Here is a 19,707-nt window from a genome sequence, read left to right on the forward strand (position 1 = left end):
GGGCCATGAGTGATGAGCTCTTTCAGGAGATTGAACACAGCACCAGGAGGACAAAGAAACTTATTATTTGACTCTACCCAAAATTAATCCTCTTCTCTGGATCTTTTTCATGGCTGAGCTTCAGAGACTTGTTTCTCAAACCTTTTCCAAAGGAACTATATAGGTTAAAAGTTATTCTCATAATTTTGTACTTTAGATTGTCCCATGAGAGTGCAAGACAACAGATACATTACTTATAGCTGATTAAGATATGCATTTGACCTAGATCTCTTACCTCAGATAAAACTGGATTTTGAACACATTCCCAGTAAGTTATCTGTATCATCCGGGCTTTCTTAGTCTTCTTCAATATTATCTCTCTAAAAATGCAAAATTTAACAAGGAAGTCTCTGGAGGTAGAATTGCTAATAAAACAGTCTGAACTTTCAAAAATGCAGAAAATCTGGTAAGTTTAACTGAAAATTGACATTAGTAATATTCATCTTGGGAGTCAAATGAGACTATTAATGAGCCAGTATCAAACATAAATAATACCAGTTGAAAATTTTCCACATATAAAACATAAAATTACCATGTATATATAAAAGATTATTAATTTTTCAGGACATCAGTCTGCTTTTGTTTCCCTTCAGTTAAAATATGGGGCATAGCAGCAACCAGTGGGAACTTTTAAATTGAACTAAATGTATTGCTAAACACCGAATCAAATTCCAAGAAAAGGATGATTTTCTTTCCCCACAACTTGTTTTCAATAGAAGGGACACCTGTTTTTTTTTAATGGTTTAAGTTCAGGCTGTTCTTAGAGATGATCAAGATGTTCTATGGGCCAAAGTATAATAATCATTCAGAATACGATTTAATTAATGAATGTGATGTGTAACTATATAATAGGCAAAGCAGTAACCTTTAATTTCTAATAAGGAAAGCATATGAAAAAGTAGATTCACCATTCCTACAAAATTATGAGAAAGAACTCTTTATTCATCATGGTGAATTATGTTTATACCTTTAAAATTATTTTTGCTCATTCTGTACTAATTTATTTAATTTTGTATTTTCAACAATGCCTGGCATAGGAGTTTAATAAACAAATTGAATGGAAAAGAAATGTTCTTTAACACAATTATGGAAAAGACACCACTCTATTTATTATTGAAATACATCCAATACTAGGTGATTCTGTTTCTTTATTATGGCTAGAGATGGTGGCATCACTTCTTCAAAGCCATTTGACAGGTGCTTTTCAAGGTTTCTTGTCCATGTTTCTGATAGGTTTCATAGCAGAGTAATAAGAATGTTGTCCAGCTTGCTTCACATGTATTTCTCTATGTGAACTGCCACCACTACCTATATTTGCTGGGACATTTAAATAAGCAAAATTAAAATCAATTCATGGTTACTAAATATTCATACAAGCATCAACATGTCTAATGTATCAAATATATGCAGAATGATTGGCAAGAGGTCAAGCACAGTTAATCTAAATGCCTGGTAAACAAGAATATTTAAATCACGCATTATAGTACTCATGGATTAAAAAAAGTCTGAATGTCAGCCACTTCCAAAAGTCATCAGCCTAAAAATCTCCAGGGCTTATTTTGGTGCATCTGATACTGAATATGACCCAACTATTCTTAGATATTGCTTCAGAAAGCAGCTGAGGCAACAGTAGCACAATTTTATACTTAGATTTGACAAACGTCCATGATTCATAATACAGTTTATGGAGCTCTGATTACACTGAGGCATTCCAGCTAGCCACCCAGACTCTGTAGGTCACTCAGTTCTAATGGGAGGGGCCAGTGGCAACTAAGACATCTATATTCCATTGGCCCATAATTTTGCTAGATAACTAAATTTTGGTGAACAAGTAGAGGAACTTGAGTGTTATAAAAAGAAAAAAGCAAAGGTAACAACCTAACTTACAATTAATTTTGGCCCCCCTGTTTGATAATTAGAAGATTTTCAGGTGAACAGCCTGTGATTTCAGTGCCATTATATGAAATCTTAGATGGTAAAACAGAGTTACGTTCCTACAGTCTAGTGTTTTTGCTTCTCCTCCTTCCATTAACTATCAAACTATGGTAGCAGACCTGAACTATTTACTCTACTCTCTTATCAGAAACTGAAATGAAGTCCTTTGAACAAATTTAGAAAAAATTATTTAACACTTAATAGTTCTCATCCATATAATTACCAAAGCTGAATCCACATCATTCATTAATTTACTATGTGCCTAGATTAAGAGAATCCAAGTATATTATCTGGAACAGGATTGAGACAAGTAAAAAAAATAAATGTATGTTCACCTTCCCATCCTGATCTACCTTGTCCAATGAAGGCTTCCATAAACCCATCTCTTTTTCCAAAGAGAGCAAGACTATTGAGATGAAAGTGAATCATAAAAGAGCAACCAGAGAATCATAAAAAAGAGCAGTAGAGAATAAAATGGGAGGAGTTATTTATGGCCACTTATACATTATTAAAATTGTAAAAGCAAAAATTCATTTTACTTGGAATCCTGATCTGAAGTAATGATAGCATGTAGTTTTTCTAAAAACTCATATGTGAACCTTGAAGATTTTCAAAAAAGATAACAAAAATGAGAAATACTCTTTAGCAATTCAAATATCAGCAGGCATCAGTTTTTGTCTCTGGCCTATTTGCATCTCTTTCTTATACTGGAAGGAAGCCGTGCTGTGACTCATTACTACTCTTTTCTACCTTTTCACTGCATGTCCAAAGCAGGTGACCCTGCTCTTTCCCTTTCCCAGTGAAATTCAGTTAATCATAAGGGGAACGAGGCAAGCAAGTTAAACACAAAAACAAAACTTACCTGCAGTTTCCTTTCCATACCTCCTGATCCCCTCCTCCTATGCTCACCCTACCACTGTGGCTTCACCTCCCTCCCTGCTGGAACTTTCACCACAAATGTCACCAACAGAAGAAGGTTGAGGCAGGCTGAAGGAGAGGATATATTCCTAGAATCTAAAGGTGAAACTATGGATGCATTTTATTCATGGAAACATTGTTATCCACTTCCGTTGGATTCTATTATGTTTACTATGCCTCAGGTGGTTGAAGAGTTAAAGGGATTTTGATGGGCTGGCCTGATGTTTGGACATTAAAAAGTGTGCTATGAGGAACACTAGTTCTACAAGGCCACCAAACAAAGCAAAACCAAATAGTGATGTGTGATCAAATAGAGTTTGGAAAACACTTCATTCTGCTTCTCTCCCCTTTAATATTTACAATGCATATTAGCATATTAAAGGTTCTGAGAAATCATGGTTTTTTTTTGTTTTTTTAAAAAAAGGAACATTGGCACTGCTCTCAAAGACTCTATGTAAACAAATAACTTTTATCCCCGGCGAAATCCCTCAACACGTCAGGAAACATAATCTGTAGCAGAAGTCCACACACATTTTCTGTAAAGGGCTGGAGAGTACATATTTTAGGCTTTGTGGTAGGGTTGCCAGATAAAATATAGGACACCTAGTTAAATTTGAATTTCAGATAAATAATGAATAATTTTTAGTAAAAGTGTGTCCTAAATATGTCCTCAGAGGTATTTGTTGCATTGCCCTGTGTTTTTATTTGCTAAATCTGGCAACTCAACTTTCTAGACTAGACAGTCACCTTGGCAACTACTCAACCCAACTGTTGAAGGGTCAAAGCAGCCGTAAGCAAGGCATAAAATGAGCAGGAGTGGCTCTGTTCCCTGTTATTTATGAGCACGGGAACTTGAATTTCATAGCATTTTTATGTGTCAGGAATTACTATTTTTCTTTTGATTTTTTTTTTAACCATGAAATCCTAGCAGTTTGGGAGGCCGAGGAGGGTGGACTGCCTGAGCTCAGGAGTTCAGGACCAGCCTGGGCAACACGGTGAAACCCCATCTCTACTAAAATACAAAAAATTAGCCAGGCGTGGCACCGTGCGTTGTAGTCCCAGCTACTCAGGAGGCTGAGTCAGGAGAATCGCTTGAACCCAGGAGGTGGAAGTTGCAGTGAGCCGAGATCACACCACTGCACTCCAGCCTGGGTGACAGAGTGAGACTCCGTCTCCAAAAAAGAAAAAAAGTAAAAACTATTTTTAACTTGTGAACTATACAAAAACAGGCAACAGGCTGAATTTGGACCATGGGCTACAGTTTCCTGTAGTATAAATGCTTTCTGAATTAACAGGGTTTAATCAAGTGACTTCTTGTAATACAACTGATTGAGAATTCTTAGTATGCAAGTATCTATATCTGTCTCAGGACTGACTGACTCATCCTCTGACTACTGAAGAACTGAGCTTTGAACTCTAATGAGCCTGACGTGTTTCCAACTCACCTATTTAAGCATAAATCAGAACTCAGTGGATCTGATTGTAGCAGGCTGGGGAGGGGGCAGCGACTTAGCAGACCACATGTTCCCTTCACTTATCATAAAGAACTGCATACCAGTGTAATTGGCAGTGTAGGACTGAATGTTGACCTATACCAACATTTTAACTATTTAACCGTTTTTTAAAACTTTAATTGAAGAAAGTCAAGCAAAAAAAAATCAATTTTAAGAAGCAAAGAGTTAAAACTTACGTAAAACAGGGACAACTCTTCCTCTTTTAACTTTTAAATTATATCTGCGCCCAGAGGCTTGGGCAGGAAGGTGATTGAGAGTAACTTCTCCCACTGTTGGTTTCACATCAAACCATTCTATAAAATATGAACACAAAAGTTATTTCTTAAAAAGCCATAATGGCCATTGTCAAAATAAGATGCCATAATTTAAAAATTAAGTAAATTATTTAAATTTCTGTTTATCATATTCCTGAGTAGTGTGAATACCTAGGTTAATAGTCCCTCCCCACATTGCTCACAATATATTTAATACACAAAATAGTTACTTTAAAGGTAATATATTTATGTTCCTGTTAGTCTTTGGTAAGTTTTTATTCAATTATAATGTATATACAAAAAGGTAAACAAACAGTAAGTATAATTCACTCCAATGAATGTGTGAGTGAATACACTTAGGGTACCATCATCCAGATCAAGAAATGATGTGTTACCAGTACCCCAAAGCCCCCTCATGTCTTTCCAAGACAGTATTCTAAAAGGAAAATGCTATCCTGACTTCTATCATTATAGGTTAGTTTTATGTATTTTTATATTTGATAAAATCATACAGTATCTTTCATTTTGCACATATTTGTGAATTAAAATTATTTCCATGTTTCCCATATTTCTTTTTAACTAATCCTGTAAACTGAAATACTTGAGCAATTTCCTTGTGCTTCTAAAGATCACTTCCTCCTCTGCAACTCATCCTTCACTGAGGCTTGAAGAAGTTGCTAAGTTAATTCCTACTCACCAGTCATGCTCTGTCAACACTAAACACAACTCTGGCCAGTAACACTGCCAGAACTATAGTTATCACAATTAATTACTTTGGCCACAAATGAGAAATGTTTAAAATCAGCAGTCTCAGGAATCAAGACTGGAAAAAGAGCACTGCTCAAGAATTGGAAGGGTTTAGATGATCTGTAGTTAAAGAAAAAATGTGTTCAAAAGACAACAGAGATACAGGTTAGTTTTCTACAAAGATAGACTTTTAAACAGAAAAGTCAATGATGCCTGATTTGTGGTGTTAAAATATAACTGGACAGAACTGAAATGCTAGACAACGAACTGAAAGGAGGTGAAGGGGTGGCAGCGAGGGATCAGTGTCATAGTGTTCTAAGGTCCTTGCAGTTTCAGGAAGAGAGTAAAGATTAATTTTAGACTAAGATAAATATGCATGCTAAAATGTATAGATTAGCACTAAAAAGAGTAGAGATTTAAAATGTTCAAAATTAGTGGGAAAAAAAATCTTTGGAAAAAAACTTAGTCCAAAAGAAGAAAAGATAGGTAAGATGAAAAGAAGAAACAGAAAAAGAGAAAAAAAAAACTCAAAATAGTATGTTAGATATGAATACATATAACAACGGGCAGTATTAATAAATTCATAACAATAAATCACTGTAAATGAAATAGAAACAATACTTCATAGAAGAACAAATTTTAGGACTTTACAAAGTATCAACACTAATTATAAAGCAATAATAATTAAGATGCTGAAGTGACACACATGTAGACAAACTGGAATAGAAGGTTCAGAAACAGACCCATACATACATGCAAACTGAAACATGAGAGGGCATTACAAATAAGTGGGAAAAGAACAGACTACTCAAAACATGCAGCTGAGGCAATTGGTTCTTCATATGGATTGCAGATGAAGTAACAGTGTAGCAGGACAAGCCGCAGACAAAACCCCTCAGACACCAAGTTAAAGAAGGAAGCAGTTTATTCATCCGGGAACTTCAGCAAGACCCCTGTCTCAAGAGCTGAGCTCTCTGAGTGAGCAATTCCTGTCCCTTTTAAGGGCTCACAACTCTAAGGGGGTGCACGTGAGAGGGTCCTGATTGATTGAGCAAGCAGCGGGTACGTGACTGGGGGCTGCGTGCACCGGTAATTAGAATGGAACAGAACAGGACAGGGATCTTCACAGTGCTTTTCTTTACAATGTCTATAATCTATAGATAACACAACCGATTAGGTCAGGTGTCGATCTTTAACTACCAGGCCCAGGTCGCGGCACTGGGCTGTCTGCCTGTGGATTTCATTTCTGCCTTTTAGTTTTTACTTCTTCTTTCTTTGGAGGCAAAATTGGGCATAAGACGATAGGGGGGTGGTCTCCTCCCTTAACAGATTACAGGTTTTCACTTTAATCAATTTAAACTTTAAAAGGTTTCACTTTAATCAATTTAAATATAGGAGGATATATTTATAATCTCATTATGGGAACAGTGTTAACTATGAAGCTTGTATTTGATTTTCATTCCTGCCATAACAAATTACCACAAATATCATGACTTAAAACAGCCATTTTTATCTCATGGTACAGAAGTCTGTGTCCTCTATTTAGAGTCTCACGAGGCTGAAAGCAAGGTATTGGCAGGGCTGCATTCCTTTCTGGAAGTTCTGGGGATGAATCTTCTCCCAGGCTCACTCAGCTCTTTGGCAGAATGCAGTTTCTTATGTTTGCAGGACTCAGGCCCCTGTTTATTGCCTGGCTGTCAGCCCAAGGTAATTCTTTGCTCCTGGAAGCTGCACCACATACCTTCTCATGCTTTCCATGTTGTCCCTTGTAGCAATAGCAGGTTGAGACCCTATCACACTCCAGATCTCTTACTTCTCCTTCTCCTACATGTGTCTTGATTCCAGCTGAAGAAAGATCTCTGCTTCTAAGGGTTTGTGTGATTAGATCAGGTCTGCCTGAATAAGCCAGCAAACACACCCTATCTTGGGGTCCATAACTTTACATCTGCAAAGTCTCTTTGCAGATGTAAAGTATCATATTCACAGGTTTCAGGGATTAGGACATGGATAGCAGGGGGGCTCATTCTGCCTACTACAGAGTTTCATAAAATCAACTAAACTTAAAAATATATATGAATGAAGTAAAAAATAATATTTAAATAGTATGTATAGGTAAATGAAATAAAGAATAATATATAAATAGTATGTATAGATTTTTTTTTTTTTTTTTGAGACAGAGTCTCACTTTATCACCCAGGCTGGAGTGCAGTGGCACAATCTCGGCTCACTGCAACCTAAGCCTCCTGGGTTCAAGCCATTCTCCTGCTTCAGCCTCCCCAGTAGCTGGGATTACAGGCACACGCCACCATGCCCAGCTAATTTTTGTGTTTTTAGTAGAGACGGGATTTCACCATGTTGGTCAGGCTGGTCTCAAACTTTTGACCTCGTGATCCGCCTGCCTTGGCCTCCCAAAGTGCTGGGATTACAGGCGTGAGCCACCGCACCCGGCCTAGATTTCTAAGTTAAGGAAATTATAAACAAAGGCAGCAGGATGATAGTTACTCTTGGAAGGGAATGTGGAGAATGCAGTCCGAGGACACAAAGGGGAAGGTAAAGGCATTAGTAATGTTCTATTTCTTAACCTGTGTAGGGATATACAAATGTGTTTTCATCGTTAGTCATCTTCTTTAAATTGTACATATACATTATATACGTGCATGTGTGATAAATATCACAGCAAAATTTTAATGTTTAAAAACATGCAAAATGTTTCAAGATAAAACTCTTCTCATTAATAACCTGAATCACGTCTTTATTCATGAATTTATGAGTAAAGCCAGAGATGAGAAAAATCAAGGAAGAGAAAACAAAATATAAGAGATGGAAGAATGGACAAGAGTAAGGAAGGACAAAACCTAAAATATCCATCTCACAATTTTAGGAGATGTTAAAATTGGTGCTTTCCTCTCTGGCTAGAAACCAGAGAGAAAATGGTTTTCTTCAGAAAAAGTTCACAGGGGAGAGAAATCCTAATGACCTACATCTGCCTCTTTTCCCGAATGTTTGGGTGCCACAGAAATGATGCGGTCTCTAGATGTCTGGAATCAAGTGAAATAAAATTTCAATACATGAGTGGTATCCTGAGTAAACTGCCAGAAAAACAAACAAAAACATGTAGAGTGAAAGTTCAATTACTCTGCCACCTGCCAGTGACTCTGGCAAATGCAGATGGCAAATGCTTTGTTTGGGTACTTAGAGAATGATTTCAGTGATACGTCTGGAAAGTTGCCATGATTGCCCCAATCTGCTCTACCATCTACATCCAAACAAGCCTACTATGGAAAGGATAACATTGTCCACACTGTAGAAAGCATCCACAGTGAATCATAGTAATCCAGGCTTTTCCCAAGGGATGAGTGTCCTGCTTAACTCTTAAACTCCTTAGTTACTTGATATATGAACTTGTTTCTTGTGAAAGGTTACAAGAATTTTTCATACACATATACGTTTCTAAAAAGAAGTGTCTGTATACTGTGTTAACTTATGCCTTCACCAAAAAGATTGATTTATAAACCACTCCAATGCTAATAAATCATTTCACTGCTAGCATTAAAGAAGTAATTTCCCTTTAAACCAGTTACAGAAGATAGCAAAATGGGCCAGTGCCGACATTTCTTTCATCTGTGCTCAAGAATAGCCTGATAGAGCTTGGAAGAACTCAGCTGTTTCAAAGGAAAACTTACCTGGATTCAATTTTCTGCCTAATTTTCTTTGCAACATATGTAAAAGGATGAGGAACTCCGCTTTAAGTTCATTGGTCAGCATGTTGGGATTGCTTAGTAATTCTGATAACCTAATGTTATCTTTAATAGACTTCGAAACTGTAGACCTGGAAACCAGGGGTAAACGCATCTGGTAGCTATAGTCCGTGAAATTCACAAAGTCATCCTGGATACTTTTAATTCTGGAAATAAAAAATAAAATACTGTTGACAAGCAACATTTTAGCAATGAGTTTTATATTATCAAAAGTTTCACATTAAATTGTGTTACTAGGAAATTACAAAGAACTTACTCTCGATGTGTTAATAAAGTGTAAACCTCTTCTATCAATATTTCAGGCACTCCAGCTTTACAATGAATTGTTCCATGGATTAGTTCTTTAGGTAATTTAAATTTTTTTCTTGCCAGGAACTTTAATAGTAGAAAGAAAATGTTTTTATCATAAGAACTTTTATAAAAATCTCCAAGTACTATGAATTCACTTTAATCTCCCTTTTATTTACCTATGAAGTAATTTTTGTGTTTAACACGTTAGTTATTAAAAGATAATATTCAGCAGGAAAACCAATCAGTATATATCATGCTAATGGAAATAATTATGCTCAGTTTCATAGGTGACTCATGACATAAACAGTTGGAATTTAATAAACTTTGTAATACACAGGAACAAGCTGCCAACTCAGTATCACACAGTCACACACATACACGTAGAGATCCAGGAAATTAGCATGGCACACTTTAAAACAAACATCTTAACAGTTAAAAGTGTAAATGACTGCTAACGTACCTTCTCCAACTGTGCCCAGTTATCCAACTTGACTTTTAAAGAGGTCCCGTTTTCAAAGGATGATAATTCAAGTTCCCAGGGGTAATATATACAGAATATTTCTGCAATTAGGAAGCCATTTGAAAAATCTCTGATCCGTGGCAATTAGGAAATGAAATAAAGTGTAGTTAATTATGCAGTTTGTATTATTTTATAATTAATACTAGTCTAATATTCCATACTAAAAGTATCTTGTAAAGTGAGTGTTGTTGGATCGTTGCTCTAAGGAGAACCTACTGTGGAATTTTGCTAAGATTATCTACGTTTCAAAGGCTTTGGTGTTCTTTTGATGAACCCAAACTGTTAATTTGTATTGAATCCGCATTTCAAGAAGATCCCCAGGTGATTCATATGCACTTTAAAATTTCAGAGGCATGGTTGTAAGTAATACTGAAGACAAATTAGTAAACTAGTCCCCCGCTTATCTGCAGTTTTGCTTTCTGCAGTTTCAGTTACCTTGGGTCAATCACAGTCGGAAAATATTAAATGGAAAATTCAAGAAATAATTTGTAACTTTTAAATTGTACTCTGTTCTGGGCAGTCTGATGAAACCTCCCTGCCTGCTCTGTGTTGCCTAGGATGTGAGTCCTCCCTTTGTCCAGAGTCTCCACGTTGTAGACATCAGTCACCTTTTAGTCATCAGATCAACTGTACAGTGTGGTGCGCTTGTGTGCAAAGTGCAAGAGCAGTGATGCTGGTGATTCAGATATGCCAGAGAGAAACCATAAAATTATTCCTTTAGGTGAAAAGATGAAAGTTCTTGACTTAATAGAAAGTTGTAAGAATGGTTACAATGGTAGGAATGAATCATATTCCTGAAATATGAAGAAAAAGAAATTCTTGATAGTTTCGGCATCACACCTCAAACTGAAAAACTTTCAGCCACAGTGTGTGATAAGTGCTTAGTTAAGATTTTTAAAAAGGCATTAAATTTGTGGATGGAAGACATAAACAGAAATGTGTTCTGACAGAGGGTTCTGTAGTATCCACAGTTGCCATCCACTGGGGATCTTGGAACCTATGCCTCTCTGATAAGGAGAGACTACTTTAAACCAGAGTTCTGCAAAAGATTCATTGCCTTTTTATAGAATTTAGTTTGCATTCCCAGAGCAAATATTAGCTGCCAGTTACATACAAAGTGCCTACAATTAAGCAGCAACTTTAAAAACTTGTTGGTAACTCTCAAACTAGATGCCATCTCCGACAAAGGGTAAACTGATCCTTACCAGTATTTTTTTTTTTTTTTTTTTTTTTTTTTTTTGAGACAGAGTCTTACCCTGCCACCTAGGCTGGAGTGCAGCGGCATAATCTCGACTCACAGCAACCTCCGCCTCCCGGGTTCAAGCATTCTCCTGCCTGCAGCCTCCCCAGTAGCTGGGATTACAGGCACCCGCCACCACACTGGGCTAATTTTTTGTATTTTTTAGTAGAGACGGGGTTTCACCGTGTTGGTCAGGCTGTTACTCAACTCCTGACCTCAGGTGATCCGCCTGCCTCGGCTCCCAAAATGCTGGGATTACAGGCATGAGCAACTGTGCCCGGCCGTCCTTACCAGTATTAATGCCCAATATCACTAAAGAAAAAGCTTTGACTATTTTAATATTTTTGTAGTCACCAAAGCATTCTATATTGTCCACAATTTAATGATTGGTTGATTAATTGAATAAACAAGATGTATCGTGGTATTTTGTTAAAGCCTTGTTCCCTAATAGTGTTTTCGTGTGTGTACGTGGGTGGGGGGGTCTTGATTTGAAACATAAGCCAGGCCAGGGTAGGCAATCTGAGGCCTGGCAGGCGGCGGAAAGCAGGCGGGGCGCCCACCGGGGGGGCCTAGGACTGGCTTACTCAAGCACCTGTTGATGTTCCTGGGGAAGAAGCTGAGATCCAGACCCTGAAGCCAACGCAGAACGGAACGAGACAAGCGGGAGCTCTTCGGCGCATGCGGATAGACCAGACACTTCTTAGGCCTCCCTCGGATGGGAGCTGCTAGCTGTGGCGAAAGTGACGGTGACTTGTCTAGGGCTGCCGCAGTCTGTGTCAAATACCCTTTTTCCTGGCCGGCGGCAGCCATGACGCTTTCTGGGTTGCTGCGGCAACAGCAGAAGGCGGGGCTGGGCCTTATTGCTGGCGGCGCGGTCTCGTGGGGCGGGGCGGAGTCTTATGGGGCGAGACCTCAGCGCCTGCGCAAGCGCCGCAGCAGCCGCCCGTACTTCCGCTTTACTCAGATTTTGGACCGCGGGGCCGGGTATCGAGGGAGGCAAAGCTGGGGTCCCAGTGGTGTGGCTGCGGTCTGGGGAGCGCTTTCAGTCTCAGATTTAGTTGGCCTCACTGTTAACCTATTTAGAGCTTTTTTTTTCTTATGTCATCGTTCATAAGTTTTGTATTTTAAATATTGTTGGTTTCTGCCCAGCCAAAGGCCTATTTTCAGTCGTCTAGTTTGAGGAGTGGTGTGAGAAGACTCCAGAGGCCAAGGACAGTTTTTGTTTGGGAATTGGAAGAGATGGGGGAAAAAAATCTTTGAAATGGAAATGAATGTCCACAAAATTTAACATAACTATTTCCTTAATTATTGCATTAAGTATTTGTAAACATTAATATTTGAAAACGATGTGTAGGTTAGATTTTCACACTTAATTAAAATCTCCTAGTAGGCATAATTCCTTCATTAATTCAACAAATATGTATTGAGTCCATATTATGTGCCACGCATTCATCTAGTCACTTGGGATCTATCTGAACACAATGAAAACAACTGCAAAGTTGGCATAGGCAATTATAAATATGTAAGCTTAATTATTAAAATCCATTAAAAATTTTTACAGCCACAGTTTTTTGTTTTTTGTTTTTTGTTTTTTGTTTTTTTTTGCTTGGCAGGGCACAGTGGGTCATGCCTGTAATCCCAGCACTTTGGGTGGTGGAGGCGGGAGGATCGTTTGAGCTCAGGAGTTCAAGACCAGCCTGGGCAACACAAGGTGGAGAGACTTTCGCTACAAAACAAACAAACAAACAAAATAGCTGGGTGTGGTGGTGCACACCTGTACTCTCAAGTACTCCAGATGCTGAGGTGGGAGGATTGCTTGAGCTCAGGAACTTGAGGCTGCAGAGAGCCAGGTGACAGGCCCTGTGGATACATACACATGGTAAAATATGGGATAGATCTTGATAATGATACTATGTAATATTTTTAATGTTTATTCATATACATGCTTATTAATAAAGTAAACCAGTGTATTCTGTATGTGGTTAAAAAAGAAAACCAAAACTGAAGCTATGTAAGTGTTTTCTGTTAGGCTAAAAAAGTTTTAATGAATGATTCATTCATTCTGTAAACCTTTTCTGAGGAACTATCCTGGAGTATGTGCTAGATCTTTACCATCCAATATGGTAGCCACTAGCCACATGTGGCTATTTAAACTTAAATTTAAATAAACTCAGTTCCACTGGCTACATTTTACCTGCTCAATAGCCATATGTAGCTAGTGGCTGCCATGTTGGGTAGGACAGACACAGCACTGTTCCATCACTACAGGAATTTCGATTGGACAGCTCTGTGCGGCAGATCATTTATAAGAGATTCAGAGATAGAAATATCAGTGAAAAGATTACATACACTGAAAAGCTCTGCCATGGTAAAAATATGTTAGCACCAGAAAGGAAGCAAATACTTTGGCCTGGGAGAGTGTAAGAAGTCCTCTCAAAAGAGATGACCATTAATTTGGATCTTAGAAGGTGGTATTTTAAGCTGATTTTTAAGATGAAAGCTTTGAATAGCCATTTCTACTGTGAAAGGAAATTAAATCTTGGGACCCCCCCCACCTCCCCCAAATCACTAAGCTAAAGGGAAAAGTCAAAGTGGGAACTGCTTAGGGCAAACCTGCCTCCTATTCTATTCAAAGTCACCGCTTAGCTCACTGAGCTAAATGCATACCTGATTGCCTACTCTGGAAAGGCTCATCAGAAACTCAACAGAATGCAACCATTTGTCTCCCATCTACCTATGACCTGGAAGCCCCCTCCCTGCTTGAGTTGTCCTGCCTTTGCTTCTAGTTGTCCCACCTTTTCCAGACCAAATCAATGTTCATCTTCCACATGTCGACTGAAGTCTCATGTCTCCCTAAAATGTATAAAACCAAACTGCCCTGACCACCTTGGGCACATGTCAGGACCTCCTAAGGCTGTGTCACGGGTGCTCATCCTCAACCTTGGCAAAATAAACTTTCTAAATTAACTGAGACCTGTCTCAGAGTTTCTGGGTTCACACTACCTTTTATTAGCTATATGACTTTGGGCAAGTTATTTAACATTTGTATTTGTAAAATATGGAAATAAATAGGATACACCACAGAGCTGTAGAGATTAAATAAGTGAAATCTATAAAGAGCCTAAAACAATGTGCAGCACGTAGTGCTCAGTAAGCATAGATGATTGCTTCAAAGGTGATCTTGGAAATTTATTTGGATGATGAAGGGGCAATCTCACACAGAGTGACTAATGGGAGCAATTGCATAGAAATATGAGGGGTTTTTTAAATGAGTTTTAGGAAAGAACAGAACCCATTAGGGTTAGAGAAAGTGTTTAGGCATTATCAACCAAAGAGACATTGTCAACCAAAGGTTTAGATGATAATGGCTAGAGAGGTAGGTTAGATCTATAGGTTAGGGTTTATTTGTTTTTGTTTTTGAGACAGAGTCATGCTGTTGCGCAGGCTGGAGTGCGGTGGCGTGCTCAGGGCTCACTGCAGCCTTGACCTCCTGGACTCAAGTGAACCTCCCACCCCAGCCTCTCATCTCAGCCTCCCAAGTAGCTGGGACTACAGGTGCAAACCACAATGATTGGTCAGTTTTTAAATTTTTTATAAAGACGGGTCTTGAACTTGTGGGCTTGAGGAATCAATCCTCCAGCCTTGGCCTTCCAAAGTGCAGCAATTACAGGCATGAGCCACCACGCCCAGCTAGATTGGGGCTTAATTGTAAACAGTTTTGCTAAAGAGTTGGAAATCTTCCTGTAATCAGTGTGCCAATTGTTAAGCAAATACATCCCTGTTAGAAACACTCCCTTCTCTGTTCTCAGTTCTGTGATGCCGGAGTTGGAACGCTGCGGCATTTTCTCCTTTGCTGGGTGGATGGTAAATTCTGCCAATATGGGGAGTGAGAGAGTGGCCAGGAGGTGGGGAGCAGGGATTTGCTATTTCTCTGCTTGCTGTTCAAGCCCCTGTGTAACCATGGCAACAAAGCTTCACCTGGCCGGGGCAATTGGTTCCAGTCTCCAGTATGGTTGGTTGGTTGGTTTGTTTGTTTAGCACTCCTGGTGCAAGTTTCATCATATTCTCTCCGAGGTTTTAGCAACCACCAAGAAGTGGCCCTCCTTGGAAGTCTGAGACCCAATTTTACTCTCGGACAGCTCATGTGAGCTCCTGAAGTATTAGCACCAGCTGTGTACGCCCCATCCTCAAGTCTAAGTCTTGAGGCTCTTAAGCCTCCAACTCTTACGTTCTTATAACTTCAACTTCTTCCCTGGGGGTGGTAATTGCTTCCTGAAGTGTCTAGCTCTGTGTTAATTTGATGGTCCCATTTTAGTTTTTCGGTTCTTCAACACCACCAGTTCCTTATAAAGCCGATGCAGGTTTGAACCACAGGATTTGGAACTGCACGGGCCCACTAATATGTGGATTTTCTTCCACCTCTGCCAACCCCAAGACAGCAGGACCAATCCCTCCTCTTCCTCCGTCTCCTCAGCCTACTCAGTGTGAAGACAAGGATGAAGACCTTTCTGACGATCCACTTCCACTTAATGAATAGTTAATATATTTTCGCTTCTTTATGATTTTCTTAATAACATTTTCTTTTCTCTAGCTTACTTTATTGTAAGAATACAGTACATAATATATATCACACAAAATATGTGTTAATTGATGTTTATGTTATTGGTAAGACTTCCAACAGTAGGCTATTAATAGTTATGTCTTTGGGGAGTCTACAGTTGGGTTTTCTACCATGCAGGACGTCGGTCCCCCTAATCTTAATGTTGTTCAAGGATCAGCTGTTAAAATTCTTGCTGTTGAATACCTGGAATTAGTTCTGTTTTCCTGATTGGATGCTGAATGACATATTGCTTGGTACCTGGAGTGAGGTTTTTCTCTACCACTAGCTCACCTGCATCTTTCTAAAGTATCTAAGGAACTTGCTTCTTCCTGTTCATGAGGTCGACTCAGCAGGATATCATCAATATAGTGGACTAGTGTGATGTTCTATGACATGTTAAGACACTCAAAAATCTCTGCCAATCTTGTGGCAAAGAGCAAGAAAATTGATCTGAACCTAAGGCAATAGCTTGAATGTGTGCTATAGATCCTGATAGATAAAAGCAAACTGCTTTTGGTGGTTTTCGCAGACTGTTATGGAGAGGAAAAAGTACATTCCAGATTAACAGCAGAATAACATTTGCTGGGGACTGTAGAAATTCATTCCAGTAAAGACACTTCAGGCCAGGTGAGGTGGCTCACACCTATAATTTAGCCCTTTGGGAGGCCGAGGCGGGTGGATCATTTGAGGTCAGGAGTTTGAGACCAGCCTGGCCAACATGGTGAAACCCCCTTCTCTACTAAAAATACAAAAATTATCCAAGTGTGGTGGCATGCACCTGTGGTCCCAGCTACTCGGAAGGCTGAGGCAGGAGAATTGCTTGAACCTGGAAGGTGGAGGTTGCAGTGAGCCAAGATCATGCCACTGCACTCCAGTCTGGGTGATAGAGTGAGACTCCATCTAAAAAATAAAAATAAAAAATAAAAAATAAAAAAAAAGACACTTCCAATGGAAAAGCAGCTGTAATTGGAGTTAATTAAGTCTACAGTAATCCACACTCATTCATTAGGATTCCTCTAACCTGCATAAGCCAAACAGACTTTACAGCTCACAGCATAGGAAGCAGCGTGAGCTCTGTTCATGCTAGTACTTCTTGCCCACAGGTGTCTCGGGATGACGTGAAGAGGCTGAGGTGGAAGCCTCACACACCATGGGTTTACATCACAGCTGAGGAATCCCAACCTTAGGGAAGCCCAGTCTTTTATAATGGGCTGCAAGGAAAACTGCCAAATCTTTGCCCTGGAGGGAAACATTGTTCTTACGATACTGGTCAGTAAACAAACCTGCAGTCTCCTCTGAAGGAAGATACTATATTTTTTAACACTGTTCACTATATGAACATCTTTAAAAAGATGTTCTGAAACAAAAGCTGCCAGGGCATCTGCTTGCAAGATGCACAGAAATGCAAACAACTCAAAATGGATGGGTATACCAAAAAGCATTACAAATCCATTTCCATTTCCTGATCTTTACTCCCCGTTTTGGTTGCAGCATTGAACTGCTTCTGTCTTCATCTGTATTTAAGCTTAACTTCTTGAGGAGTCTCATCATAGAGCAAAATAGTATTTCATAATTATCATCAGACTGTGGTTTTTCAGAAGTGGCTATACTGAGAGGCTCTGGCCCAGATTCTAAGGCACTCCTGATGGAGGAAATAATTTTAACACTCATACCAACTCTGAACAGTTTTTCTAAGTTGAAAGGCGTAGCAATAAGAATGCAGTACACTAAACATATGAATTGAAAATATGGTCGATATTTAGGCAATCATAACTATAAACTTAAATAAGACTACATCTACTTAAATTACTATTTAAATATTTTATACTCAATATTGGTATCAAATTCTTAAAAAGCGACTACAAGGCCAAGTGCGATGGCTCACACCTTTAATCCCAGCATGTTGGGAGGCCGAGGCAGGAGGACCACTTGAACCCAGGAGTTTGAGGCTAACCTAAGCAACATAGTGAGACCTCCATCTCTACAAAAAATTGAAAAAAAGTTAACCAGGCATGGTGGTGCACACCTGTAGTCTCCGCTACTTGGGAGACTAAGGAAGGAGGATCGCTATAGCCTGGGAAGTTGAGACTGCAGTGAACCATAATTGTGCCACTAAATTCCAGCTGGGGCAACATAGTGAGACCCTGTCTCAAAAAAAAAATGACTACAAGATTCAATCATTTACTTAAATGTCTTGATATCTCAGATATTAAACTTCATTTTTATTTTTGTTTTTTAGAGACAGGGTCTCGTTCTGTCACCCAGGCTGGAGTACAGTGGCACAATCATATCATAGTTCATTGTAACCTTGAACTCCTGAGTTCAAACAATCCTCCTGCCTCAGCCTCCTGAGTAGCTGGGACTACAGGTGCATACCACCATGCCTGGTAAATTTTGAAAATTTTCTGTAAAGACAGGGTCTCACTATGTTGCCCAGGATGGTCTTATACTCCTAGCCTCAAGCCATCCTCCTGCCTTGGCCTCCCAAAGCACTGGGATTAAAGGTGTGAGCCATGGCGCCCAGCCCTTAAACTCTGATTTGACTGATTTTGAAGCTAAGTAATGTAGAGTCTTGGTTGTTTATCTCCACTTAATGTAATTTACTCTATCAGATTCAAGCCAGGTGCATATTAGAAGCATTTTCCTCAATAATGTATTAAAAATGTATTTGGCAACTTCATGTCTCTATCTGTATAGATGAAACTGTTGATAATGTTCACTAATATAATTGTAACTTCAGCTAAAGATCAAGTCGGTTACAATTGATAATAACTATAGTGAGCTATAATGTCACTTTACAAATGAAAACTGATAGGAACAGATATCTTTCTCTCTCTACAAATACACAGAGATAAAATTAAACCTTTCTGATTATACTGTGAGTTTGTATAGGGATGAATCTAAGAGCTACAAAGAGACGAAGTGATGGGCAATATGTGAGGCCACTGGATCTTGTATAATGACCATAGAAAATTAAAACATAGGCCGGGCGCGGTGGCTCATGCCTGAAATCCCAGCACTTTGGGAGGCCAAGGGGAGCAGATCACCTGAGGTCAGGAGTTCGAGACCAGCCTGGCCAACATAGTGAAACCCTGTTTCTACTAAAAATACAAAAATCAGCTGGGCGTGGTTCGGGCATCTGTAATCTCAGCTACTCAGGGGGCTGAGGCAGGAGAATTGCTTGAACTAGGGAGGCAGAGGTTACAGTAAGCCGAGATCGTGCCATTGCACTCCAGCCTGGGTGACAAGAGTAAGACTCAGTCTCAAAAAAAAAAAAAAAAAAACGCAAAAAAGTTAAAACATAAAAAAATTAATATATTAGTCAAGGCAAGTAATCATAACTAAAACAAACAAACTCAGAAATCTCAGTGGCTTAACACGCCATGGGTTTATCTCTTCCTGACATTGCCCGCCTACTCTGGGGCAGTGAGGAGGGGAATTTTCCGCCTGCAGGAATCTAGGCTGGTGCAGACAGCACTGCCCAGAACATGTGGCCTCTGCAGTTGCTGTTTTGAAGGGAGATGGAGGATATACACTGGCTCTTAAGTCTCCTAGGCTGCAGGGGACACATGTCACTTCCACTCTTGTCCGTCATGAAGTCTCATCCTACCTGTGTGAGAGTCCCAGGAAAGCAGAGGGCACGTGGGATATTTAGAAAGTGTGGGTGTGAGTCATCTCAGCTGTGATTAGAAACCTCTTTTTAAAAGGGGGGGGGCTCATCCTTTTGGATGTGCAGCGTGTGAGGAGATAAGAAAAACTTCCTTTAGCTTTTCCTTGAAAATTCAACCATACACTCAACTTGGGGGATTCTAGGTAGGAAATATTTTATCTTCAGTAACTGCATTTATTTATACTTTTGCTCTTTTCTCGCCTGGTTTGTTAACTCAGAAT

The 19,707-nt window shown here is 39.3% G+C and overlaps 1 protein-coding gene across 2 annotated transcripts; it reads right to left on the reverse strand.

Annotated features, from left to right (window-relative positions):
- Positions 1-1,042: 1,042 nt before the first annotated feature.
- On the reverse strand, positions 1,043-12,049 carry SPATA4 (spermatogenesis associated 4). Of its 2 annotated transcripts, none has more exons than NM_144644.4 (6): positions 11,809-12,049; positions 9,917-10,046; positions 9,422-9,540; positions 9,091-9,311; positions 4,583-4,699; positions 1,043-1,356 (listed from the first exon to the last, which is right to left on the reverse strand). In NM_144644.4, the coding sequence occupies exons 1-6, from the start codon at positions 12,024-12,026 to the stop codon at positions 1,244-1,246; spliced, it is 918 nt and encodes a 305-aa protein (NP_653245.2). In that variant the 5' UTR covers positions 12,027-12,049; the 3' UTR covers positions 1,043-1,243. The 2 variants fall into 2 exon arrangements, with proteins under 2 accessions (NP_653245.2, XP_047305564.1); XM_047449608.1 differs by having other exon boundaries at positions 11,801-11,829.
- Positions 12,050-19,707: the final 7,658 nt, after the last annotated feature.

This window comes from Homo sapiens, chromosome 4 (assembly GCF_000001405.40).
Source record: "Homo sapiens chromosome 4, GRCh38.p14 Primary Assembly".
Taxonomy (NCBI): Eukaryota; Metazoa; Chordata; class Mammalia; order Primates; family Hominidae; genus Homo; species Homo sapiens.